General features: G+C 51.3%; 2 protein-coding genes across 17 annotated transcripts in view, besides 2 other annotated features; one reads left to right on the top strand and one right to left on the bottom strand.

Moving 5' to 3' along the window:
• Positions 1-12,500, top strand: part of NOL4L (nucleolar protein 4 like) — a 142,275-nt gene extending 129,775 nt beyond the window's left edge. For 2 of the 3 annotated variants that reach the window (NM_001256798.2, NM_080616.6), the window contains 5 exons: positions 1,798-1,983; positions 2,064-2,255; positions 2,553-2,675; positions 3,122-3,323; positions 7,743-12,500. In NM_001256798.2, coding sequence (NP_001243727.1) covers positions 1,798-1,983; positions 2,064-2,255; positions 2,553-2,675; positions 3,122-3,323; positions 7,743-7,963 — 924 coding nt within the window. In that variant the 3' untranslated portion in view covers positions 7,964-12,500. Of the gene's footprint in view, positions 1-1,797; positions 1,984-2,063; positions 2,256-2,552; positions 2,676-3,121; positions 3,324-3,985; positions 4,063-7,742 lie in introns of all 3 variants that reach the window. The other variant, NM_001351680.2, reaches the window with a different exon arrangement.
• Positions 7,062-7,563: an enhancer, noted in NCBI's record as "H3K4me1 hESC enhancer chr20:31035799-31036300 (GRCh37/hg19 assembly coordinates)". NCBI's record gives its function as "activates a minimal SCP1, AML or CMV promoter by ChIP-STARR-seq in primed H9 embryonic stem cells {active_cell/tissue: H9 hESC(primed)}" and the evidence as "EXISTENCE:reporter gene assay evidence [ECO:0000049][PMID:30033119]".
• Positions 9,476-10,137: an enhancer, noted in NCBI's record as "H3K27ac-H3K4me1 hESC enhancer chr20:31033225-31033886 (GRCh37/hg19 assembly coordinates)". NCBI's record gives its function as "activates a minimal SCP1, AML or CMV promoter by ChIP-STARR-seq in naive H9 embryonic stem cells {active_cell/tissue: H9 hESC(naive)}" and the evidence as "EXISTENCE:reporter gene assay evidence [ECO:0000049][PMID:30033119]".
• ASXL1 (ASXL transcriptional regulator 1) overlaps positions 16,240-26,579 on the bottom strand; it is an 80,989-nt gene continuing 70,649 nt past the window's right edge. For 11 of the 14 annotated variants that reach the window (NM_015338.6, XM_006723727.4, XM_011528648.4 and 8 more), the window contains 7 exons: positions 26,128-26,221; positions 25,506-25,658; positions 24,075-24,238; positions 23,880-23,976; positions 22,574-22,679; positions 21,642-22,275; positions 16,240-21,127 (listed from right to left, as the gene is read on the bottom strand). In NM_015338.6, the coding sequence (NP_056153.2) occupies positions 18,221-21,127; positions 21,642-22,275; positions 22,574-22,679; positions 23,880-23,976; positions 24,075-24,238; positions 25,506-25,658; positions 26,128-26,221 (4,155 nt within the window). In that variant the 3' untranslated portion in view covers positions 16,240-18,220. Of the gene's footprint in view, positions 21,128-21,641; positions 22,276-22,573; positions 22,680-23,879; positions 23,977-24,074; positions 24,239-24,382; positions 26,222-26,579 lie in introns of those variants that run through there. The other 3 variants (XM_047439945.1, NM_001363734.1, XM_006723733.2) reach the window with 2 other exon arrangements.

Genomic DNA, 26,579 nt, shown 5'->3' with positions numbered 1-26,579 from the left:
CCTCCGGGCCACTAAGGTTTCCTGTAGTAGTGCCTCTTCTCCAACCTGGGCCCGGGGGCCAGAGGTGCCTTCCTGGAGCTTACACCTCTGGACAGGCTCTTCTCCCTCTCTGGGCCTGTTTTCTCTTCTGCAGAGAGAGTGGAGTAGGTGCTACTGCCTGCCTCATTTGGAATGTCTCGTGGGGACATTCTGTACCATGGGCTCAGTGCTGAGTTGTTGCTATGTGTCTAGCACAGGTGGCTGGGAGCAGGTTCTGGCCAGAGCAGGCTTTGCCTGGGTCCAAGGGACAGGCATAGCTGCTGTTCCATGAAGGGGGTGAGTTGTGTTCAGCAGCCATTGCCACTGTGGCCACAGGGTACATGGGGGGCCCAGGGAAGTGAGATGAGAGCAGGAACGCCACCAGCAGCTCCTATCTTAGTTTTTTCTCCATCTGTCTGCCCTGGCCCTGGCTCAGGGTTTGGCTGAGGAGTGGCGTGGGAATGTGGCTTGCCTGGGGCCACACGGCCAGTTATGGTAGCCAGCGGGGGCCCTCGGCATCCTGCCCCTATCCAAGTCTGTATGTGGACGAAGAGACAGGCACCAGGCCAGTGACCCTAGGGCACCAACCCCTGCGGGCCTGGTCCCAGGGAGAGAGGCCTGGCGGGGGCCGTGCTGTGGGACCAGGTGCCAGGCAATGCCCTTCTTCCTGGATTTGCTCCTCAGTGAGTGCTGTTCCCTTCCGGGCTGTGCCATGGCCATGCTGCCACATCACAGGGTCTGACCATACCGCCACCTGTTCCCTGAGCCTGCCTTACCTGCTAGATGCCAACCTCCTTGAGGGCAGGGACAGTGTCCCCAGGCTACTGTCAGTCACGATCTGAACGAGTACTTAGGACACATCGAAGGCACAAACTTTCCGAAAGGCAACAGTGGTCCTCAGCCGTCCCAGAGCGGTGCCCCGAGGCAGGGGCAGGAGACAGGTGGTGTGGGAGCTGAGCCATGAAGGATGAGAAGATGGAGGGGCATGGGGGAAAAGAGGGAGCTGCTCCTAAGGAGAGATGGTTGAGGGGCTTGGCCAGGGAGAAACTCGTGGTGGGAGCAGAGGGCTGGAGCCCTTCTCTACTGGAGGACAGGAGACTGCTGGGGGAGGCCGGATCCGGTTCCCTCTCCCTTTCTACCCGCATATTCTCAAGGGGCCACTGTGCTGTCCTGGGTGGGGGGCAGACAGGAGAAGTCCAGCTCAGGAGCTGCGGGAACGCATCCTGCTGAACGGACCTGTCGCCCTGGCTGGCTACCTCGCCCAGCGCATCTGTTCCTCCTCCCGACAGACAGCATGCTCGTTGCTTTGGTGACAGCTCGGTTGTCAACTTGGGGTTGCAGCCCCTTGGGGATCAGGGAGGAAAACCCCGAAGCCAAAATATATCTTGGCACGAGAGGAGGCTGGCGGGTGGTGGGAGTCCTTTCCATGTCTGCCTTTCCCCTGTACACGTGGCAGGTCCTGGTGTTGGCCTCTGCTGAGGAAACAGCTGACACCCTCCTAAGCGCTCAGCAGCCCCGGGAACCAGGTCTCTGCATACACTATTGCAGTCGGTCCTCCCTGCGGCAGCCCAGGGAGGGAGGTGGTAGCATTGCTGTCCCCATTGCACAGATGAAGGGAGCAGAAGAGGGGAGTGACTTGCTCAGGGCCTCGCAGCTATGGCTCTCGTGGCAGCAGGGCATGCGTGCCACCCTGGTCCCCAAGCTCACCGCCTGTAGGAGACCCAGCAAGGGCTTGAGCAGCTGCTTGGCCCAACCCTCTGCCTCTTGCCCTCCTTTTAGTCCCCCCCCTACAGCTCTGGGAGCTACGATTCCATCAAGACCGAGGTCAGCGGCTGCCCTGAGGACCTGACAGTGGGCCGGGCCCCGACGGCAGATGATGACGACGATGACCACGATGACCATGAGGACAATGACAAGATGAACGACTCTGAAGGCATGGACCCTGAGCGTCTTAAGGCCTTCAACGTGAGCACCGGCCGGAAACAGGTGGGGTGGGATGGGGGCAAGGCCAGGGCCAGCCCTTCCCATGGCCCGTGTCTCCACAGATGTTTGTGCGTCTCTTTGTGGACGAGAACCTGGACCGCATGGTGCCCATCTCCAAGCAGCCCAAGGAGAAGATCCAGGCCATCATCGAGTCCTGCAGCCGGCAGTTCCCTGAGTTCCAGGAGCGGGCCCGCAAGCGCATCCGCACGTACCTCAAGTCCTGCCGTCGCATGAAGAAGAACGGCATGGAGATGGTGAGTCCCCCCTGCCTGGCCCACACTTTCCCTCGGTGCCACTACTGACCTCCTGCCACACTCCCAGGATGCCCGGGCCCCTTCACCCAGGGTCTTCCCAGGAGCCCTGGAAGCAAGTACCATAATCCCTGGTTTGCAAATGAGGGAACTAAGGCCCAGAAAGATCACACAGCTCCATAGACTGAGGCGCTGGAGCCCAAACCCCACCCTGTGCCACCCACCCCTGGGGCAGGGTCTCTGCACAAGCCCAGGGCCCCCACGGGCCCCATGCTAGCTCCATCCCCGTTCTGCCTGCAGACCAGACCCACGCCACCCCATCTGACCTCGGCCATGGCAGAAAACATCCTGGCAGCTGCCTGTGAGAGCGAGACAAGAAAGGCAGCCAAGCGGATGCGTCTAGAGATCTACCAGTCCTCACAGGTACCTGCCACCGCAGCCACTACAGGGGCCGCTCCTGGGCAGCCAGGGAGGGCAGGCCTTATATGGGTGTGGACTGAGGGAGCTGTGATGGGTACAGTCGGGAGAAGGGCAGAGGGGGAACAGGAGGGCAAAGACAAGGAGAGGAGGTGGGTGGAGGTCAGGTGTGTTGTTCTCAGAGCTCCTCAGACCTCATACGGAAGCCTGGACTTCATCTGGAGACCAGAGGGCCCTGATCAAATACGCTGACAGGGAGATGAGCAGAGTTGGGGAAAGCCCCCGGGGGGAAGGTGGCTGGGGGAGGGGACAGACAGAATCCCACAGGTCAAACCGCAGCATTGGGTCCCAGGAGTCCTGGGGCCGCAGCATTTATCCACCTTGTGTCCAGGGATGGTAGTTGGGGCCAGCTGCCCCTTGGTTTCCCCAGCGCCCCCCTCTCCCCTCTGCAGGATGAGCCCATAGCCCTGGACAAGCAGCACTCGCGGGACTCCGCAGCCATCACCCACTCCACCTACTCACTGCCAGCCTCCTCCTACTCCCAGGACCCTGTGTACGCCAACGGCGGCCTCAACTACAGTTACCGCGGGTACGGGGCCTTGAGCAGCAACCTGCAGCCCCCTGCCTCCCTCCAAACAGGAAACCACAGTAATGGTGAGTCGGGGGAGGCCTGGGCTCTGGCTTCCCGACCAGCACCCAGCTGGGTCTGCAGAGCAGCCCTGGGCAGCGGAATGGGGAGAGGGAAGCAGAGGCCAGTGATGGAAAGGGGCTGCCTCACAGCATAGGGAGCAGGAGGGGCGGCTCTGGCACCCTTCCACTTCATCGTCTTAGCTGGTCCTTAGATTGGAAGGTGAAGGAGACTCAGTTGGTTAAAGCAAAAACCTACCGCCCCCTTCTCACCGCCAGTGACGCTTGCTCCAACACTTCCCACCTTCACTACCGGCGCCTCTCACTGGTTCCACTCCCCCAGGGTCCCTGTGGGTGCCGAGTCCCAGCCAAGGGCCTGTTCTTGGCCTGAGTTGAATCTCCGCAGCCCCGTCTGTCTCACCCATAGCGACTGAGGCTCAGTGAGACAGCTGCTGGCCTGGCCCAGCTGTGGCCCCGCTGGCCTGCAGGGCGGCTCCCTCCCCAGGCCTCAGCTCAGGGCCTGCCTTGTGAGGTGAAAGCTTTCCTCACCTGGGTGCTGGGCCTCCGTTCTTGCCCCTGCATTCATGGAGCCTACATCTGAGACACCTGGGGTGATGGTGCACACCTGCTCCCTCGCTCCGCTCCTGTAGCTGGGTGATTCAGTAGGTGCTTTTCCGGTAACTCCCCAGGCTACTCTGCGCAGATGGGGCACAGACCATTAGAGGAGACAGCCCCCGAAGAGACAGAGGCTTCCTCATGGAGTCAGGTGCTGCCGTGAGCACGAACTGGAATGGGGAACCTCAGACCCCTTTACTGTGAGGCCAAGGGAAGCAGGGGAGGAGTGGGGTCAGCCTGGTGGGTCACAGGACCTCTTGGGCCAGGCACTCGGGTTGTGTTCTGTGTGCAGGAGGAGCCCCTGCTAGGTTTTAAGCACAGAAGGGCCGTGAATTGTGTGGTCTGTGTCATTCTGTCTGCCCCTGTAAGAAGGTTTGAATGGGCAGAGCAAGAGGCAGAAGCCATGTGCTTTGGGGGTCGTTCAGAAGCCAGGGAATGAAGGGAAGAATTGAGGAACCTGAGTAGGTTGGAGAAAGGTGCCACCTGTAAGCTGGGGAACCCTGGTGCAAGGTCTTGGCTAAACATGCCTGAGGATTCCCTAAGCCCCCATCCTTGGCTGCAGGAGACCCCTCACTGTTCCTGGGCAGCAAGGGAGGGAGCTAGTCCCCACCCATGGCAGGAAGCCCAGGCTGCCTCCACTCGCCTTGACCCCCGCCACCCCCCAGAACCAGGAAGTGTATGCAGGTCCCTGGAAGATTCCTGCCTGGGCTTAACTCCTCATCCCTTCCTAATGCCTCTTAACCTAAAATAAGAGGCCGCCTGGCCCTAATCCCTGAAGCTAAGGCCGGAGTGGCCAGCACGGTGAGAGGTGGAGTGGCTGTCCTAGGCGGGCTCCTTTCATTCCAGGAAGAAAAGCCCTGCCCCCCCTACACATGGGGGTCTGGGGCTCAGCAGGTGAGGTGAGGGTGGTCTGGGGCCTGCTCCCTCCTAGCAGCAGGCGATGGTGACAAGCCTCTACCTGGTGTCCACCCAGCATGACCTATTTCAGGGCTGCGGCTGCCAAGTCCCCCTGACCCTCCTAAGGGCCTCTCATATTAGGGCTGAGCCTGCTTCATGCCTGCCCGTTCACACCTGCCCAAGAGGCACAAACAGCAGCCAGAGAATGATTCTTCCAGGGAGGCAGCTGGCTCTGCCCTTGTGCATCCTGGGGTCTCAGTCTCCCATCTGTGAATACCCTGGTTCCTTCATGGTGGGTGGGGAGGCCACTGACGCAGAAATCTGGTCATTTACCTCCTTGCCTGGGGCAGCCCCTGTCCTTGAGCACTAGTACCTCATTTGAAGAACATTGTTTAAATCCTCCAGCAGTTGAAGGAAGACAACAGGCAGCCACGTGGTTGCAGGGCCACCCAGCCCCACTGGCCTCCCCAGCCTCAGCCTTTCAAGTATTGTTCAATCAGTTTGGTACCTCAGCCGGGCAGCCGTATTAATGGCTCAGAGCTCCTCACTTTGCTCATTATGTTGTCATCTGGAGATGCAAATCAGCTTAGATAGAATCAGGCTCGGCCTGTCTTGCCTGGGGTGCTGGGTAACTCATGCTCACTCCTATCCCTCTACCCACCATACGGCAGTCCCTCGGCAACCTGAGCATCTGGCTGTAACCAGAGTCTACACGGGGGTGTCTCCAGATCAGATCAGCTGCAGGAAACAGGGACCTTCTCCTTTCCAAGCCTCAGCTACAGCCCAGGAGAGAAGGGAGGAAGCTCTGAGCACAGGCATGAACAGGATAGCACTTGGGGAGAGGAGAAAAGAAAGGAACCGGGACCACTGCTCATGTTGACTATGCCAGGAGGCTCTGGCCACTCCCAAGCATGACGCAGAGGGGACCAGAACCACCCTAGAGAGAACCAGACCCTCTTCCCCCGCATCCCTCTGGGTCCATCCCCTGCAATATCCAGAAGTTAGCAGAGGCACTCCTGTTCCAAGCTTCTCAGTCCCGCATTGTGACAACACCCTGGGAGTCAGTCACCTGTTTGGCTGCTGTTTCCAGACACAGCCCCAACCCCTTCCCCCTGTGTTTGATTTTAACAGACTCAACTGTTTCCTTAACTCTCAATTCCAAGGACGCTATTTAGAAAATAGTTCCTAGGACCTCCTCCTTGGTGTCCACATTCTCTGGCCGGAGAGGAAATAACCCCATGTGACAAACTGTCCCATCTTAGACTCCAGCTTCCTTCCCCATTTGGGGGCTGCACCAGCTTCCTTTTAGCAGCAGTCAGGTTTCCATAGTTTATCCCAAGATGTTACTTCCAGTCTGGATACCTCCCGTGACAAGAGCTTGTCCATCTCTCTTCATAGCAGCATAAAAACTGCCATGGAGATGCAATCATGAGAGAATGTGACCATCAGAACTTTCAGGGTAGCTGGGGGAGCCTCACACCCCCGTGGAAGATAAAGCTGTGGGGAAGGGACTCCAGGGGGAGGGCAGACAACAGAGAAGCTGACCTGGCTGCATCAGAGAAGGCTTCCCAGGGAAGCGGCAGCTCTGCCTGCACCTGCCCAGATTCTCTCTTCTTTGGCTGTTTCTTGCCGAACACCTTGTAGAATGCTTTTCAAATTCCAGGAGCTTCCAGGTCTCCTGGGAGCCCATTCAGAAAGCCCTGAAACCTCTTTGGAAGCCCTTCCCTATTGGGCCAGTCTAGGCAGTCAGGCCTCCTGTGGGCTGAGAAGGAGCCTCAGCCTGTGCTGAGTGTTTCACAGCCGGCATCTCAGCTTCTGCTCGCAGGAGCCGCCTAGTTTTGGCAGATGAGGGCTCTGAGGCCCAGAGAAGTTAAAGAATTTGCCAATGAAGTAGCAGAGCAGGACTTGAATCCACACTTGCCTGACTCCAAAGCCAGGAGCTTCTTGGGAAAGGCCAAGAGAGGACAGGGCCTGGCGGTCCCCTCCCCAACACGCACACCCCTAGTGTGTTTTGAAAGATGGCAGGCTCCCTCTTTGCCATCATCCGAGGACAAAGGGCGGGCAGTTTCTCCAGAAGCGAGTCTGAGTCTTGTCCTGATGGTTCCGGCCCACACTCCCTCGTATCCTAGCAGCATGAACCCTCCACCTCACTCAGGCACAGGACTCCTCCCAGGAGGGGGGATTCGAGGTGCTTGAGGCTTAGCAGAAAGAGGCTTCACACACCCAGCCCCTTCCTCCATCCACTGGCTGCCATGGTCCCTCCTGGGGGTGCAGTTATGGCCTGGCCAGTCTGGCCTGTACCTCTCCCCCCAGACAACCAGGGCAGCTGGCCTCTCTCCAGCTGGACAGAAGCCCCTTTCTTGTCTGGGCACACAGATGTTTCTTCTCCTGGCCTTTTGTGGCTCGACTCTCAGCTCCTCCTGGGCTTTCCCCACACGCATCTCTCAGGTGTGTTGGGCCCCTGCCTACCTGCAGAGTCTCCTGCACACCATCTCCCCTTCCAGCCTCGGTGTCTGGGCTGGGGAAGAGCACACAGATGGGTGCTGCTCCTTTAGGCACACTGGCAGAGGCTTTCTTTTAGCACTTGTCCCACAGTTCCTCAATGGAAGTAGTATTTCCCATTCCCAAGCTCTGCTCACCACACTGAGGAGAGGCAGATCTTAGGAGTTCCTTTGCCCCAAGGCCGCCTCTTCCTCACCTAAAACCGGATCCTTGCAAGATCACCCTGAGGATTCTCTGAGAACCCTGTCGCCCGCAGGCCCATTCTAAGCACTAGGGATAGAGCCATCAGGGAGATGGACCAGAGCCACGGACTTCAGTGCCCAACTCACAGTGGGCACTAGGCCATAGGTTATGACAGTGCCAAGGAAGGTACACCTCCCAGATGCCAGGCAGGGTGGCTGCTCCCTTCTCACCCTACTTCCCTCTCCACAGGGCCCACGGACCTCAGCATGAAAGGCGGGGCCTCTACCACCTCCACCACCCCCACGCCCACCCCCTCCAGCACCAGCACCAGCAGGCCCGTGCCCACCGCTCAGCTCAGCCCCACGGAGATCAGCGCCGTGCGGCAGCTCATCGCGGGCTACCGGGAGTCTGCTGCCTTCCTGCTGCGCTCTGCAGATGAACTGGAAAACCTCATCCTACAGCAGAACTGACCCCACCGGCACCTGGAGCGCACTGCCCTAGGGAAGGAGGCTGTCCCAGCCTGGACCTGGCTTCCTGCCTCACCAGTTGGTACATTTTGTTTTTGAAAGAGGTGGGATCCAAAAGAGCTGTTTCTAGCCACACTCCAAGCACCTGAGACTTTGGGCACAAGGACACTTTTTTTTTTTTTTTTTTTTTTTTTTGGAATCTCACCACACGGGTGCTCTGACCTGCTTGGAAGAGGCCAACGGGGCAGCTCTGGAAGGGTTGGGGGCTCCCCTGACAAGGCGCTGGGGCTGCAGCTCTGTTTAGAATCACCTTCGTGGACCCTGATGTTAGAATCCCACCCCCAGATAATTACCTTTCAAGTCTTAGGTGAGCAGAATTGCATATTTATTGAGAAAAGCAAAGTGGACCCTTTCTTCCTCTCCCCTTAGTAATTTATTTTTCTGAAAATGGATTCTTTTGTGTTTGTACAGATTGCTAGTCTGTGTCTGTCTGATCAGAAGGATGTATCCCCATACCTAACATTCCATATCACTACACTGATGTGGGCTGGGGCCAGTAGGGGCAGGACAGGTGCCAGGCTGGCTGTTCCTCTGCATGCCTGGTGCACCCTGTGGCCGCTAGCCCTTGGCCAGGCCATCCTGTTGCAGATCCCAGTGCTGCCACAGGGACACCACCAGGCACCTCCCTAGGCAACGCCAAGCAGGAGGACCTCACCCACACCCATGGCAAAGCAAAACAAAAGAGGCACCCCGACCCCATTCTACAGAAGCCCCAGTCCATGGTCACCTGTATTCTACCTCACACTCCAGCGTGGGCTTTTTCCAGGATGTGCCCTGAGCCTGTTCTGAACAGCTGTAACCCCAACTCCCCCACACAATGTGTCTGCCTGGGAGGTAAGTAAGTCCAGACTGGGTGTCCAGGAGCTGGAACCCAGAGAGCGTCCTGTCCCTAACCAGCCACTGCAGCCCTCCAGCTCTGGCCCTCAGCTGCTTGACAGGACGGACTGCTGGGAGATGGCAGCCGGTTGGCAGGGCCCTTGCCCTCACACCCCGCTGCCCAGGAGCCAGGTCTGAACTTCTGTGCACAGGCCTGGCCCCTCAGACTCACTCCTGCCAAGAGGGGCCACTTCTTCAGGGTGAGCCCCGGCTATCAGGCAGCCGTGAGCTCCAGGGCGGGCTGCAGCTCCCATCCCCTTGCGCCATGTTTGGAGTAAAGGGATCAGTGGAAGTGGAGGAGCCACTTGGGTTCTCCTAAGACCAGCCCTTCCGGAGGGGCCGGTCCTGGAAGAAACCCATAATCCCTGGAGTGTGAAAAAGGGCAAAAAGAAAAAGCTGGCCTGGTTTCCTTCCTCCCTGATTGATTGATTGATAGGCACTTCCTCTTGCTCAGTGCAATACCTACCAGTGCTGCTAAACCAGGGACTCGCCCAGACCTCAGCAGGCCCCCAGGGCCTCTCCGTGCAACACTCCGTAGCCATGACAGCAGCTCTCTGCTGCCCGCCCCTGCCCAGAGCTGGCAGAAGCCCTCTGTTGCCTTTCCTCCCTCAGAGCAGAGAGGCCCCAGGGGAGCCAGGGCCGAGTGGATCCTAGGATGGCCACGGAGAGCCACTCGCTCCCAGAACAGGCACCCCTTCCCAAACCAGCTTTTCTGCAGCCAATTGCCTGTTGCAGCTGTGGCCACTGCCTCCCGGCACTGTGGCAGACTCCCCCCAAGGAGGGATGGGGGGGGCACCAGTGAGGATGCCCCATCCTGCCTCAGGTCCAGAACTCTGAAAGGTAGGGTGCCCACCCCGTGCTTACTTCCGGCCCCTAGAGGTTGGGGGTGGTCGTTATCTCTCAAGTGGCCTCCAATACCCCATCCAGCCACACCACCTCTGCCTTCCATCTGACCAATCCCCAGGCCTCTGGTCAGGGCCAGGACACCTGAGACTCACCCTTAGCACAGCACAACCTCCAGTGCCCAAGGCCTCTCCCACACCCCAGCCATCCACACATCTGGCCCCACCTGCTCAGTACTACTCAACATTTGAATTCGTGTAAATATTTATTTTTGTGTGTGAACAATACTACAAAGTAATCAGTAAGATCTTTTGCAAAAATGTTACCCCAGGCAATTATTTGTGAAAATCTTAATGTTAAAACCTGGCAGAGACAATCGCCACCCTAGAATTCCTGGTATCAGTTACTTAACGTGTCACTTCTCCTCCCAGAGGCAGTACCCAAGCTAGACATGAACCGTTTGCATTTCTTGGCAGACAGGAGTGAGAAAGACTGGGGAAGGGGCTCCCTCCCCCTACCCACACAAGGATTAGATCTAAAGATCAGCATAAGCTACAGTTTGAAGTCATGTTTTTCTGAGTTCAAGCTGTTGGAACTGACCACCCTCCAGCCTGCCTTAGTACTGCGGCAAGAGCGTAGGTTCAATGTGTTTTCAAGAGAAAGGAAAGAATATGTTGTTAAAGTCCATTGGGCCTCCCAGGCCCCTCCAGGACAATGGATTTCATCATGTCGACCCCACCTCTTGGGTGGGCTCCTCCTTTCCAGTGAAACTACACCTGAAGCCCTAGAGATGGCAGAATCAGGAGCAAGTTTCTGCATGGAAACAGGATTCCATTTAGCTGGCTCAGTCAGGGAACTTGTTTTGCTTTTGTTTTAAAAGATGCAGCTTCAACCCCTTCCCCCTACTCCCGACTTGGAGGGCACCAAAGAGCTGGTTCTGATGAACTAAGCTCACTGCTGTCTCACCCTCACCAGAGGGACTGCCTTCTCCCAAAAGGAGCTCCCAAAGCCCTTGTCCCACAGCCATTTAAAAATCTTCTGAAGGGCCTCAGGGCACAAAGTGATCATTTGGGATCCTAAGTTAAAAAGGAAATGCAAGAGTAGGATACTCCAATTCCAGAGTCTTTGCAGGAGGCTAATCCCACAAGAAGGGTAGCATCAGAGAAGTGGGCATTGGTCTTAGTGGTGGATCATCAGGTAGACAAGTGATAGTGTGTGTAACCCATCTGAAATTCATTTTACCGTCACCACTCTTACAAAGGACAGTTTATTCCCAAGGACAGTGCTGACGGGGAGGGGGACAGGCAGGGAGTTAGGAGGGTTTTCGAGGATTTCAAACAGGTGGAACCCATCCATCCCTATTCCCAAGGGCCACTTACAACTCTAAGGGTGGTTACAGGATTAACTACCAGTTCATTTTCAAAATGCTGCTTTGAACTCAGAGGGTTGATACTTTTAATTTGTAATTTTTTGTAAAACTTTTTACAAAATAGTAAAGTATTTCACCAGAATACCAGTTTCAATCCGTCCATGGTCTGATTTTTATATAATTTAGTGGTGCTTTAGAAACTTTGTTTTTGTTGTTTCTGAGCTAAACAGCTCAATCCTTTTTCGCCTGTATCTACCTAAGACCAATGTGAACCTTTGTATTTTTGCTCCTAATTTTGGACTCAGTGAAAGTGTACTGTTTACATGTACAGATGCCCCCAGTCCCTGTGTGTTCTGCAAGACTTGCTCTTGAGGAGGAAGATGCACCTCACTAAGCTCATCTGCTTAGCAAAGCCACAAACAAAAACCTCTCACTTTTTACCTACGTTTCCACCTAAAAATACAACAAAAAACCTATACCACGTAGAACTCAGATTGGCTGAAAAACACTTTCCACCTGGTAGATGGCCCATATGCCTCAATTATGTGGTCCATTTAGGAGCAGGAGTCAGAAGAGAGACCTCTTATTGGCTGCTGGTGGGTAACTGCATGGACAGAGGAAAAGGGAAGGCAGGACTTTGCTGCAGAGCTGTGGGATGAATGTAGTTCTTCCCTGGGCAGCCTGGGAGTGGGAAGGTCAGAATGACTCATGTTGCCTTCAGGATCAAGCCATCCAGGATTTAGGGACAACCCAAGAGGTCTTTAGTCCTCTGGCATAATTTAGACATGTTTTGGAAGAGCATGAGTTCCATATCTGAGATGAGATTTAAGACTTTCAGTGCAGATAGTACAAGCCATTTCTTCAGGGTTCCTCTGGGGGCAGCTCCTTCATGAGGTCCCACCTCCGGGGAGGGGCACAGGGCTCCAGATAGTAAGCACTTAAGGCAAACAGTGGATGGCACCAACTTTTAAAGGTGACTCTATTAATGGCTTCACCTCTAAATTATATTTTTACAGATATGCACCTATGCAACTTAACGTGGCTCTTCTAAGCAGGTGAGGACTTCCTCCTCAATGCTCTCTATAAAAATTATTTGTGTTCTATATAGTGAGTTTTACCAGTAAATGTGGCTTAATATTTTAATTCTTAGAATGTGTCTTCTCTACGTGATGTGACTAAATTCTGTTTTGTTTGTGGAATGACTAGCACAGGCCGACTCCCTCTCTCCCTCACTTAACAAAAGACCAATGAGCTGTTAATCGAGCTGTTATCTCCATGGTATTACTTGCTAAATGCACTGATTTCATAAGTATGTGGAATCCTTTTCCTTTTGAATCTGTATATCATATATAAGACTGAATCTACTTAATAAACACTGAACAACAAACCGAATGCTCTGCTTCCACTGTGTCCTATCAACAGCAGCACCGCCTGCCACTTCTCATCCTTCCTCATCTAGTTGGGCACCGAAACATCTTTCTACTAGTAGATTCCACCTTTTCCTAGCCAATAGTATGGCACACAGAAGGTCCTCAGTACATTTTCTAGAACAAATAAACCTGTAATTCCAGCACCTCATCTGTTAGAAAGGGAAGGAAATGAACCTTTCCCAGGTGCCCTTCAGTTGCTGAGCACAGGCAGAACTCTCATGCACTGTTTTAAATCTCAGTTCCCTTACCCGCCACGTGCAGACACAGAGGCACACGGGGTACACGCCTTGCTGAAATTCAGTGACCAGCAAAAAACTTGTAGCTTTTCCACAACCTCTCACCCTAGCACATGGCCAACTGACTGAAACCAAATTCCCATAACAATCCCTAAGTGCTAGTTTGGAAAACTGAGCAAACATGATCCCTGGTTCTGAACCTTCAGTGCTGCACATTCCATTCTATGCAAAACCCTGGATCCCACCTTGAAGGAAACAAAAGGGCTGCTTTTCCCAAAGATACTTATTTGTGCTAATTTTTTTTCATCCTATATATATGGTTTAGGTTAAGCTTTAAGGAAAAATGGTAGGAATATGGCTGGGAACCAACATGATCATGGATTTAAAAACAACTTTAGGCATGTTAAAAGCATACATTTGCTAAAATTCCGTGTGTGTGTATATATACACACACATATATACATACATATATACACATATATATACATACATACACACATACACACATATATACACATACATATACACATATATACACATACATATACACATATATACACACATACATATATACATATATATGTATACACATTTATGGCAGTTATTAAAACCTTGATTTTTAAATAACATAAGAATCCTTTTTCTCATAGAAAGTCTGTGCAGTAGCCAAATACATAAAATGGAGAAGGGCATGACTTTGGGGCTGAGACTCACTGAGAGCCAGAAGACGATGGCCCTTGACACCTCCCTTGCCGCTTTCCTTTTGCTGAGGGGCAGCAAATCCTCAGTTAATACCACGGAAATTCCTTCTCCTGCCTCAAATGATCACCACTGAGACTCCTCAAACTATTAAGACTATTAGAAACCCACAACCTGTGACAACAGCTCCAGAACATGGACCCCGCTGGCCTGCTGGCCAGCCCTGCAAACACTTACCTCCTTCCACAGGAAATACTGCAGTCCACCAGAGCACTGAGATTCCCAGGAGAAATTGCCTGAGGGCAGAAAAGTGCTCCCTTATTCTAGTCTGGCTCCTTTGGGGGCTCCGCACCACTGTTGTTAACAGTGGATAAAAGACTTCATCAAATGGGAATGTCCCCTCAGAAGAGTGAACTAAAATGTATTCAATGACAAAACAGGCAAACCTCCCTTTATGAAAAATAGGAAAACATGCATATGCTATTTTTCCAACTTAAAATGCACTAGGGAAGCTTAGTAGTTACATTTCTTTGCAAGAAGAATCTCTGCAAAATCCTATCTTCCCTTAATTGATCTTTTGTATAAACACAGATTTTATTAGGTTTATTCTCAGCCAGTGGTTCTTAAACAAAGGGCCCCAGCTGCCTAAGGAGCTGGTAAATCCTGACACAGTATGCAAAACTTTGTGAGGCCAGGTGTGCTGGCGGGAAGATCGGGAAGATCGCTTGAGGCCTGGAGTTCAAGACTAGTCTGGGCAACAGTCTCTACAAAAAATTTTAATATTAGCTGGGCATGGTGGCACGTGCCTGTAGCCTGAGCTACTTGGGAGGATGAGGTGGAAGGACCACTGGAGCTCAGGAGTTCGAGGCTACAGTGAGCTATGATCACGCCACTGCACTCCAGCCTGAAGAGAGTGAGAGTCTGCAAAAAAACCCCAAAAAACTTTGTATGTGCATTCCATGGGGGGAGAGTTCCCAAAAAAAGGTTAAGACCCACCCATATCAGGTAACACAGCACTGACAACTGTTGTTCTCACAGGGCGTTCGTCTATGGCTTACGGTAGAGATGTTCATTCTAGGCTTTCAAATTGACCAGAGACAAGAGGAAGCATAGGGGTGTTGTCCAATTTTGGAGCAATCTCCAAAGTTCCACATCCTGCCACTTCTATGGCTTCAAACAACACCCACACGAGGGCAACACAGCCTGGGTCCCCTCCTCTCAGGGAGACAGGGCAGGCAGATGCTTTGGCCATCAAGACCCCTGATGGATGCAGGCAGCTCTATTTAGCATGCACACATACCCACACACACTCTAACACAGTCTTACAGCAGGCTGGATAGCAAATAAATGACACCTTGCCAGGCCAGTACCATTCTTCCTATATTCTGAAACATTATTTCCCTTGTCCTTTGGACCATGAGCAAAATAAGCCTTCCTGACCAAATATTCAGTCTAAACTCAGGACTACACTCAACCTTTGGTCAGGTCTGTGGCCTGAGACCAAAAGCCAGGGTCCAAAGTGACTTCACAGCCTGCATCACCCCTCAGCGCAGTGGGCACAAGGCCTACATCCTGACAGCTCCTTTCTGGAGCAAGAGTGAAGTAGCTGGCAGTAGCTGTATAGATTTCTACTATAAGTTCACCTAACAATTATTGCCTTGGCCTGCTGTGAACTAATAGTCATTATGTCCTAGGTGGCAGGCACTAACAACCTCATGAAGTAAGAACTATTACACCCATTCATATATGAGAGTTGGCAGCCTGGTTAAATAACATGGCCCAAGAACACAGAGCTGGCACGTCGCAGAGGCTATACTCTAGGAACTCACTACACCATTCTGCCTCCCTGAGGAGAGGCAACAGGCATTGGAAGGTCCCGATCTGGGACCGTAATGCATTCTGAGCTCCTGCAGACATAAGTGGGCAAATGGATTCTGTGACACAAGGACATATCACCAACAGCAGGCAGTTGCTCAGTCACTACAGGGCCTCCGAACCATCAATTCTCAAAACTGCATGTCGATCAAACGGCAGCAATACAAAATGGCAGCTTGAACTCCCCAAAGGATATCCCACCACAAAGTTTTTCCTCCAATTCACAGGAAAAAATTAATGAATATATGTTTAAACTCCCATCATTTTGCTGTTTTGGCTTATTTATATACTAATAAAATTATTTCTGATAAGCACAAAGTCAATGTATTTACGTACTCTAGAGACGTCTGAGGACTTCTCAAGAAGTCAATCCCTGAAGCACGTCGTCTACTCAGGCTCACGCAACTAGCATCAGACACCCCACCCTGGGCCAGCACCTTCCTCTCACTGCCACCAGAGGCTACAGAAAGAGGTGCTTGTGGTTAAGGTTTTCCAAGGTTAGAGCTAGTCACCCTCCCACAGAAGACCACTAACCATTAGGAAGCCACTTGGCAACCTCAACCTCAGTGAAGCTGTTTGGATGAGTTGCTGCAGAGGGATGTCACAGTTTGTGACTCGCACTCCCAAGGGGAAACATTCTCATTGCTCTCAGTAGAACGCTGACTGCAGTCTATGTGGTGAAGTCCGCCAAGTCATGAATGGCTAAAGACCAGTGAAGCTGCCAAGTCATTCCTTTTGGACTAACCTCCCAAAAGAAGAGCTCCAAGTATAAGAAGAGTAGCTCCAGAGCCAAGGTGAGGAGAGCTGGCGTCTACTCCTTCCCTTCCAGCTCAGCACTCCAGCTGACCTTCCCACACCAGCGAGGCAGCCACAGATGACTGAGACCACAACTGCAGGTTGTACGGGTTTATTGTTCCAATACCACAAGAGACATACAGAAGCAGTGCTTTCTCTGGGCAGCCTCATGGACCAGATCAGTGTCAAACTGTACCCTTGAGTGTCCCCAAAGGTTCCAGCAGAGGGAAGAAGAGGACTGGACATGTTTGGGCCCCTGTTCCCGGTCTTTGGTAAACAGACGCTTAAGTTGACAACTTGGACTTGGCCAATACTGCATTCTAAATCACCACATCATTCCCAACTTGTCACTCATGCTTCAGATGACGAAAATGCCACATCAGATTAAATGAGAAAAAAACCTTTCAGATAAAATGAGACTTGAAGTCATACAAATTTTATACTTGATCTAAATTAAGCAAGAACCCTCAACTCTGTAATAAGTCGAAATACAAGATATAAGGCAGGAAACAAGGCAAGGGAAAACACACACAGGGGCATCTACTTGCTGGAAACATGTTGGGAGAGAGGCAGGAGCAGGCATGGCTTTGTTTCTTCCCAAACCTGCCTGATGTCAAAAGTACGTCAAAAGGAGCCTCACAGTCCCAGGAGAGCATGGTCCCAGGTATTGCTGTGACAGGTGGTGACCCTGGAGCCAGATCTGGAAGGCCTTCCTGGGGGCTGCCCAGGGAACTCACCCATGAATCCAGAAGCACTTAACACTGGTGGTGGTGATTTGTCACATATGGCAGCAAGCAGCCATTAAGGCTGTAGGAGGAGAGATGTGAAAAGCAAGATGCGTTTGCTCGGTGGCATGTGGGCAGGCTGACTGTGGCTCTGCAGGCTGCAGCAGGTCCAGCCGGTGACCCAACAGGGCATCGGGCAACCTGGCAGGTCACAAGTCAATCATTTCACCCTCACGTCGAGCAGCACAGCACTCAGTGGCTCTGACAACAGATGTAGAGAAGGAGATTACACCACTTTAATGCAATGATGCTGAAGATGTAAAATTAGGAAGAGACGTTCATGTTCTCTGTACAATACATCCATTTACAGAATCAGCCAGTACTGTGTACAACATATAAATACATGATAAAACATTAGAGGTGCATAGAGCATACTTACAGAAGCCAAAAAGTTCACTTTATACATCCAAGAATAAAGAGTTAAAAATATAAAAATAAGAAACACACACTGCTTTGAAATGTAAAATGACTTTCACATACACAGGTGCGTGGAGATGCCCACTCCCATAGGGTCCAAAGTGACAGGGAGGATGTCAAGCAGAGGAATTCACCTGCAAACATCTGGACGGCTGACTCACAAGGTCTACAGATGGCATTTTCATAGGAAAGACAACCCTATTCCCCAACCCCATTGTCCAAGCAGAGCTATTCAAGGTTCCAAATGATCCTGTGGGTTAGTGGATCACACTGAGACAGAAAAGTTCCAAATTTGCTTCAGCAACAGAACCAAGGTCAAACTTGCTCCGTCAACTGGCAAATGACTCAACTGTGACCCTGAGGTCAGCAGGTGCACCAGCCCCCTGGTGGGCAATGCCAGGAGTTACTTTAACCCTGTGCTGGCTTCTTTCCTGGCCATCAACTCCCCAAAGTAGCAGAAGAAAAGATGGCAGGGAGGGGGTAGTGGAAGACTGGCATTTCTACTTAGTTCAGGTAGGTTAACTCCCTTGGTGGAGAATGCAACCTTCTTGCTTCAGTTTCAAGTCCCTCTGGGAGTCAGGCAGTCCCCCCACCCCCCGCAACCCCACTCCGTGCCACATCAGGCTCTGTCTTGCAGGAGAGCTCAGGCTGGCTGGCCTTGGGCAGCCCAATGGGTTATACCCAGGAAACCCCTCCAGCAAGACCAGAAGGGTCGCCAAGTGACAGAGGGCTTTAGCAGTGTAAATTTTGGGGGAAGGCAAGAGTGCTCCTGCCTAAAGAGTATTATATCAATGATATTCTGTATACAGATTTAAGATCAATCATTATCAAAATACACACACTAAATATACAATGTTTCCCATGGCCATAATTTATTATCTCACCACAAGGCACAATACACAGAGCTTTGAGGGTCCAATACAGTCATCGTGACAGAACGCACCGCAGCCTTGGCACATGATCATGGCTTTCAGGCTGCACGCACACTGGAGCGAGATGCTTTCCACCGTGCTGCTGTCAGTGAACATTTGCAAGGAAAGTGATGCACTGTGGCTCGCACCAAAGTTTGCTTTGTGGCTCAGCTGCACCACACTTCCAGCAAGGCCTTTGGGAAAGGTGGGAGAGCTAGAGGAATAATTAAAGCTGGTGGAACTCAGTTGGAGTTTAGAAAGCTTCCCATAAAATGCCTGCTTGATGCTGAGTTGGGAGGGGAGAGAAGAAGGCTCCAGAGGCTCACTGAGCCCCTTCCCTGGCTCTCGGGGTAATTTCCAGAAGGGCAAGTCCATGACAAAGGGCATCCCTTCCAAGTGACCCACCAGTTCCAGGGGACTATGCCCAGTAGCTTTCCTGTTCTCGGCATTTGCCTTAAGAGGACCCCCCACAAAAGTCTTCTCATTCTTGACGCTGCCAACAAAGGCATGTGGCTTTGGAGCCCAGTCTTCCCTTGGAGTCTGTACCCCACCAGACATGGAGTTTGTGCTTGGTCCCAACTTCCCACTGGGAAAAACTGGAGGGATCTCAGCAGGAAGAGGCATCGGGTCCGCAGGCCTGGGGCGCTGAAGGGTTGCAGCCACATTCCCAGAGCCAAAAAGCTTCTTCCCTTGGCCTGTAACATTGCTCTGATCACCCAGGGCCCGACCTGTCTGCTCTGGACCAAAGGAGATCACATTTGGAGATGAGAAACGAGGTGTTCTCGAGGTAGTAAGATCTCCTGGGCTCTTTCCTGGAGCAGCATTTGAATTACTGTCCTGTGACATAGCACGGACTTCCTTCTGATCTTCACAACTAAAGGAAGAGAACTGCTCTTTGGAATCCATTTCTTCCAGTTTCCTAGAGGATGTAATGGGATTTGTCACTGGATGGAGGGAGTCAAAACTTGGGACTGCCTTGCAATTCTTTTGGGGTGCTCCAGGAGCCTGGGTGGCCTCAATCCTGGCAAGACCAGTGCCTGTTTCACAGCTATCTGGCAGAAGAGGCTCCTTCAAAGCCCTTAAAGAACTGGGGCTGCTTCCATCAACCATGCCACTGTTTTTTCCAAGACCATGTAAAGATCCCATGCGTAGCGAGCCATGGCTCTGGTCTTTTGTAAGTGGTACTTGTGGGGATTCTGACATGCTGTCATCGTGGGCTGGTGGAAGAACCTTCTCTAGGGGCAAGCTACCCTGCAGCAACTGCATCACAAGTGGGTTAGTGGCCTCCACTGAGGACCCAGGCATGGACAGGCACACGGCTCTTGGCTGGTACTCAGTACTGGCCAGCAGTAGGGAATCTGGGATCTTTTGGCGGACCGCACATACTCGAGACACCCAGCTCTGAGGAGCAACCATCCCATCTGTCCTTGTAACCAGACGCATGTCACCATTCACCTTGGACAGTGGGGCAGATTGGTTCCAATTGGGTTTCTCATCCTTGTCCACCGAAGATCCCTTTGTCACTGCAGCTTCTCTAGTGTCAGCCTCACTGCTGTCCTCCGTGAGGTGACCTTCAAAGTCAGAGGCTGTATCCGTGGACTCACCGTGAGGACTCAGTGCTTCAGAGTCTCCGTTGATTTTCAGCTTTTCAATGTCCACCTGTTGACAGTAACTGCCATTGCTGTCACTGCCTCCTCGAGATGGCACAGTCCAGAGTGAAGTAAGGCTGTCAAGAGGATCTAGACCCTCCTCAGCTGTCAAATCCCCAGGCAATGCAGGAGGGGTGGGAGCAGCTTTCTCCCACTCCTCTCCAACCTGGGGCTCAACAGATGGTATGTGTTCTCTGGATTCTGGTTTGGGCTGTTTCACTACCTCATCATTCGATGGGATGGGTATCCAATGCAAAGAACTGTTAGAAACGAGAGCCTTGGTTTTCAAGTTTTCTTGTCTAGTATCACTTTCCCTCATAGGAGGGCATGAGCCACCAAGCCCTAATTCGTCATCAAATGCTCTGTTCTGCAGGCAATCAGTCGGTGAGGATTCAGGTGTGGAACTGGGGGTCACATTTACAGGATCCTTCATAGTGGGATGACTGTCAAGAGCTTGGCCAGTTCCTTTCTCTAATGTATCATCTCCCACTAGAGACGGAATGGGACCATTGTCTGCAGGAACGGTGGGTCCTTGCTCCTCATCATCACTTTCCCAGGAAGTGGTGCCAGACTCACATTCAGTTCTAACATCCGGATGCAACTGAGGCTGCTCCACTAATCTCTCAGCTACTGAGGTTTGGGAGGACAGTAGGGGCAAGGCCTGGCATGGCTGGTCCCCAGTGGGAGCAACGGGGAGTTGGGAGGCATCTCCTAGCCCATCTGTGAGTCCAACTGTAGCCCTCTGTAGTAGGCAGCTTTCCTCCTTTCTCAGAGAAGGCAGGTCCTCTCTCCTAGCTCTGGACATGGCAGTTCCGGCCTGGGTATGCTCCCCATTTAGAGGATAAGGCGGCAGTAGTTGTGTTCGCTGTAGATCTGACGTACACTTTCCAGGGGTGCTCGGGCCTCCCCTGGGCTCAGGGTGGCCACAGGCCTCACCACCATCACCACTGCTGCTGCCTCTGCCACCTCCCTCATCGGTGGCCCCGCCGCCACCTCCACCCGGGCCACCCCCCCCTCCGATGGCAGTGGTGGCCGCCTCTCTATGGCAGTGGTGACCTCTCGCCCCTCGGACCTGCAGAGCACGGGCTTTAATGTCTGCGAGGGTCCTGGCGCCAGTCCAACCCCGGCAGGAGGACTCCGTGGTGGGGATGATCCGGGGGCATATCTGGTAAGTGGGCTGACCTTTAACCACCCAGGGTGGTTTGATACGTGAAAGTTGAATCTGCAAAAAAAGAATTAGAAAATAGTTTTAACTGACTGGGTGATCTGACCTAGGGACTGTAAAGCAAAACTAGGATTCTAGTAGCTTAAGGGTCATGGCATACAGAATCAAATAATTTCCTTAAAACAATGAAATCATCATAGTAAAATGGCGCCATAACACACCATTCAGAGAAGATTCTGCTCAAGGGCTGTTATATGCCACACTTCTAAATTTAATTTCTGGTGGGACTGTGTGAGTCACTATAGCAAAGAATCTAATGCTATCTTAAAAAGATTTTAAAACCCCAAAGGATTTTGACCTCTCAAGATAACTTCAACAGAGTGAACAAAAAAGTGAGGAAGAAAAGAACCTATCTCACTAAACTTGAAGGCTGTCTCAAGCAAACCTCTCATAAAAAGCTCTACATTCCCACATAATTAACTTCAGGGCCCCAGAGTTAAGGGCTCTATAATCTCATGACCCTCAAAGAAAACCTGGCTCCAGGGCAGCCAGGAATCAAACAGTCTCCTACCCGGATGGGCGGGACTTTGGGCTCCTCTTTAGTGGGCTGTGGCTTTTCGGTGTGAACACTTTCAATTGTGTTACGAAAGGACTGACGATCTTCAAGCCGGGGCTTCTTTTCGGGAAAGGATGCAGAGGCCGCCTGCTCAAAGGATTTCCTCTTCTGATCCTTGGGTTCCTGATCCACAGTTTCCTGAGGCAGGCTAGGAATTCTGTCTGGAGATGCAGAGGCACGTGCCAAGTTGTCTGGCTCAGCCTGGATCCGAGAAGCCACAGACTCAACTGGGAATTCGGGACCCTCCAGGTCGGGTGCTGCAGAGGATGTGCCTGGCAGATGGGGACTGCTCAGCCCTGCTGGGTCAGTCTTAGCCTCCCCATCCTTGTAGAGGGGAACATCTGAGGCCACAGATTTTGCATCCTTAGCAACCCCTGCTTGTTCTGACTCCTGTTTTTTGTACAGATTCCTTCTGGCTCTGGTTCGGAGATCTGGCCGAGAGCGTTTCTTAAAATGCCCATCTCGCTGTCGGGTGGCTGGACCACGCTGTATACGCACTGATTCTCCTGGGACACACAAGCCACTTTTGATTTCAGCCTCCTCCTGGCCCACGTTCTGCTGCAATGACTCTTCTTTGGTCAAACCCAGCCTGCAAATCAAAATCACAGCCATCAGTTTCAGGCCAGAGTGGACATGTCTCTTATTTCTATGAATAATATGGACCCAGAAACACAGATATCTCAGAACAAAATAAATCTGTGTGGTGCACAATCTAACCATGGAAAAACTTCTGTTAGCTTCACTATGAATGGCATTAAGATAAATGACCCAAGTGTCACTGCAATCTCCACATTCTTGTCCAACACATAAGTATATGCTATTTTGAGACCATCTACCTCTATCCCCTCAAAACCCCAGACCAGGACTCATAGCTCCAACTGCCTTACTTCTGTCCATAGTAGTCTTCAAAGAACTTTTCTTTCCATTGTTCCACCTTCTTTTCCTTCTCCATTTCCTGTCGTATCCTGACTTGCATCTCATGAGTAAATTCACCTAGGGAGAAATAAACCTCTTCTAGTAAGTGCATTCGGGATATTAATGTCTGTCTTATGGACAGCTGAATCTCCCAGTTTTAAAACAACACGTCTCTTCTAAAGGCTCTCTCACATCATGCTCTTATAGGGACAGAGCTAACACATCTACTATAAGGGAAATTCACTCTTCCTTAAAGTGAGACCAAGCAACTCCTTGATCGAAAAAGCAAAACAACAAACAAAAGAACCATTCATATTTCCTGTGTAGATAAAAAGTTAACATAGTAGGTAGGCCTGATTGTTTACTCTTAGAAAGGCCTACTTAAAAGAACAGCCCTTGGCTGACATCTGGGAACTTAGATTTCAGGAGGGTTCCCAACCACCCTAACTGATATGAGTTGTTCACTGTGCCTAAATTGTTTATGCAAACAATACGGCTTATGCTGAACACCTGCCTTCCTTTTGGGAATCTGGAAGCTGGGTATGTGCCAAGCAGTGGCTTCCTACATGATCAGCCCTTGATAAAAACCCTGGGCACCGAGTCTTTAACAGGTTTCCCTAGTAGACATTTCATACATGTTATCATAACTTGTTACTGGGGGAATTAAATGTGTCCTGTGTGACACCACTGAGAGAGGACCTTGGAAGCCAACACATGGTTTCCCCTGGACCCCACCCCATGTGCCTCTCCATCTGCTGATTTTACTTTGTATTCTTCTGCTGTAATAAACCGCAGCCCTGTACATATAACTATATGCTGAGTCCTGCTAGCAAATCATCAAACCTAGGGGTGTTCTTAGAGCCCTCTCAACACTTTCCCCACAAAATTAAATTAATAGAAGCTAACAATCACTCCAAGTGACAATGCCTAAAAAGACAGAGCATGGTGGAGCTTCTCAACTCCACAGTGTACTTTCCTCCACCCTTCCAGACCATGCCATGATTACTGGAATAGGTGTTTATAGTTTTAATGATAAAAAGGAGATGATGAATGAGTACATACATACAATATAGTGAAAGTCTAAACCTAAACACCCTGTTATTTCTTCAGAGCTGTGTGGCATATTAATACCCACCACATTTATTAGTAATGAGGAAAGCCTGTCTTATACTAAATAACCCTTTGAGAAGAGCGAGCTTGGGTTTTAAATACCAGGAGACATGCAACACCACACGACAGGTGCGTCGCAAGCCGTCCGAGATGACCAAGTCTACATACCATCAGCCAGGCGCTCCCGCCAGCTCTGAGCCGCATGGGTAAAAAACTCGTTATTTAGTGCACTGCTGCTGAGACGCAACAGGCCATCCGTCCCCACCTAGAAGGATCAAGGGGGAAAAAAATCCTAATAAATAAACTTAAAAGAGAACAGAAGCCCACCCAGAGAGAGGCAAAGGGGAGGCTGCCCATGTGCACCTGTCTGTCTACTTCAGGCAGGAGGAAGAGGAGCTGCTGCTGGAAGTGTGATGGTAAGGCATGGAAGGTCCGAGAGTTGATCAGGGCACGGAGGTTGGTGTTGACAAGAATGGACCCAGGTGTCTCAAAATCTATTTCTTCCCCTCTGTTGCGCTTCATTTGACCTATGATTTTTGAAGCAAGGTATAGATTTCAGCTTTTTAAAAGAAAAAACAAATGCCAACTGATGGGAAAACTTTGGTGACAGCACCCAAGCTACCCAGGAGTTATCTGCACACAATCTGCTCAATTGTCCAGTCCATCCTAACCTGTATATTCTTTCCAGGTTACTGTCATTGCCATCAAACCCAGGAGAACACTTGGGGTTGCATCTCCTCAGACAAAACTCTGTACCGTGCTGTGTCACAGCCTGAAAAGGACACTTCCCACAGAAAATCAGGCAAGGGGCAGGTTCTGAGCTTCCCTCCAAAGCTGGAGAACAGGCTCCACAAAGCTCAACTGGAGAAATCATGAGAATTATCTAAAAGTAAATCTAGTTAGTATACTATAGAAAAATCTGCAGAAGCCTTCTGTGAATGGGCTGGAGAGGGATGATCTCCATGCAGAAATGTACTAAGGACTGTTCAAAGCCAACTGAGATGCTAATACCTCTCACAGAAGCCTCAGCAAATGTTACTTTTATCTGAAAAACTCACTAGGACTAGAGACCTGTGAGACCTTAGATTGAGCACTGCTGATGAGCTGGAAAAGCAGCAAGACAGCAAACCTAGTTCTCACATGGGCAAAGGTTTACTCTAATTCTCAGAAGCAAAAGCTTGTCTTCTTAATGGTTTCATCTACAAAAAAAACCAGCATGTGGGTCATTAAGAATTAAATCCTGAAATAGCAAAGAGCATACTAATATTGCAAATAACCCTAATGGGGGTGGGGTGGGGTGAGGGGTGGGAGGTATAGATAATAGCACTACTGAATTTGTTTGCATCCCCAAAATTCAACACATGCTTCCACTCAACATACTGACTAGGTTGTAAAAAAGGGAGCGTCTGATACAGACTACAGATGTTGGGAACAAATGTGGCAACATGCTACCGAAGAGAGAAAAGGGGTGTTGGAATTCTTCACTGAGAAGCTCAGAAGCAGTTTTCACTCACTCAAACACTTACTATGCAGTACAAGGCAGGCATAGACTAGGCCTACAGGGACATACGAGAAACAGTATGGCATCATCTCTGCCTGAAAGGAGTTCTCACAGTTTAGCAGAGAGCTACAAATGAAATAAGCAAATTACAAAGTAAAAATAAACAAAAAATAGAGGGCCACCCAAGAAGTAAAAATAAACTGGTAAAGGAATTGGAATAGAAGACATCATCTTCTCACTAGGCCTGCAGGGGCCCCCTTTACAGGCAGAGAAATAAGTGCCACGCCACTCACCTGTGGCTGGCTTCCGGAAGCCTCTCAGGAGCGGGGCAGGGTCCTGGGTGACCTCGGCCTGGCCACGAATAGCAGCGCTGCCCAGGGCCAGAGAGCCGCTGCTGCTGCTGGACGGGCTGCCGCTCTCGCCATCGGCGTGGCAGCCCGAGAACCCTGAAGGCACAGCATTCCACTGGTCAAAAGTATCACCAAGCCGCGCCCATGGCTCTCAGACAAGCTCATTTCTCCCAGCTCTCCCTGAGATGCTGCCAGCAATACTGGGATGCTTCCATCTCCCAGCCTTAGGCTGAGAGAAACCACCACTTCATGGTCTGGCTTTAAAATATCACCTTACAGGTGCCAAACTGCCATCTTTATTTGTATAGCACTACACCTTTTACAAAGCACTGGCATAATCAAATCCTCCGTTGGATCCTCACGACTGCCCTGGGAGACAAAGAGGAAGGCACACAGCAGAGCCCAGCACTAGAACCTATGGCAGGCCTCATCCATTGGCAGGGCTCTTGCCTGTGGCCCGACAGCTCTCCTAGTATCGCACTATTAGGTCAGAAACTGCTGACAGAGGGAGGCCAGGTCCCCAGGACCTGAGGAAAAAGCATCACAACCATGAGTTTACACATACCTGATGCAGATTCCACGTGGGCCCCGTTTACCTTCAGAGGAGTCAGGACAACTCGAGGCAGCATCACCCCAGTCTTTTTCTTTTGTTTGTTCGCCTGCGTTCCAAGAGAGAACAAAAGAGAGCCCAAGTCAACTGCAGAGCCACAAAAGCATTCCCTGGCGACACTATCTCTACTCACGCTCTTGTAAAATGAAGTTCGTCTTCAACCAGATCTGTCAAATAATGCTGACAAGAGCACTGGTTAATGTTACTGAGCTACGTGCTGGTCACTGTGCCAAGCATCATTCCAAGCTACAAAAATGTACTGTTATCCCCATTTTACAGGTAAGGAATTTTCCCCAAGTCTCAAGGCTAGTAAGTGCAGGGTTATCATTCAAACTGCTCACTCCCAATCTCCTGTTCTCTCTACTCTGCACTAACCACACTTCTCCCTGAATGTTCACGTGTATATT

The sequence above is a fragment of the Homo sapiens genome, chromosome 20 (assembly GCF_000001405.40).
Source record: "Homo sapiens chromosome 20, GRCh38.p14 Primary Assembly".
NCBI lineage: Eukaryota > Metazoa > Chordata > Mammalia > Primates > Hominidae > Homo > Homo sapiens.
Note: the sequence above shows the minus strand (reverse complement) of the source record. Positions and strands in the feature narration are given on the sequence as shown.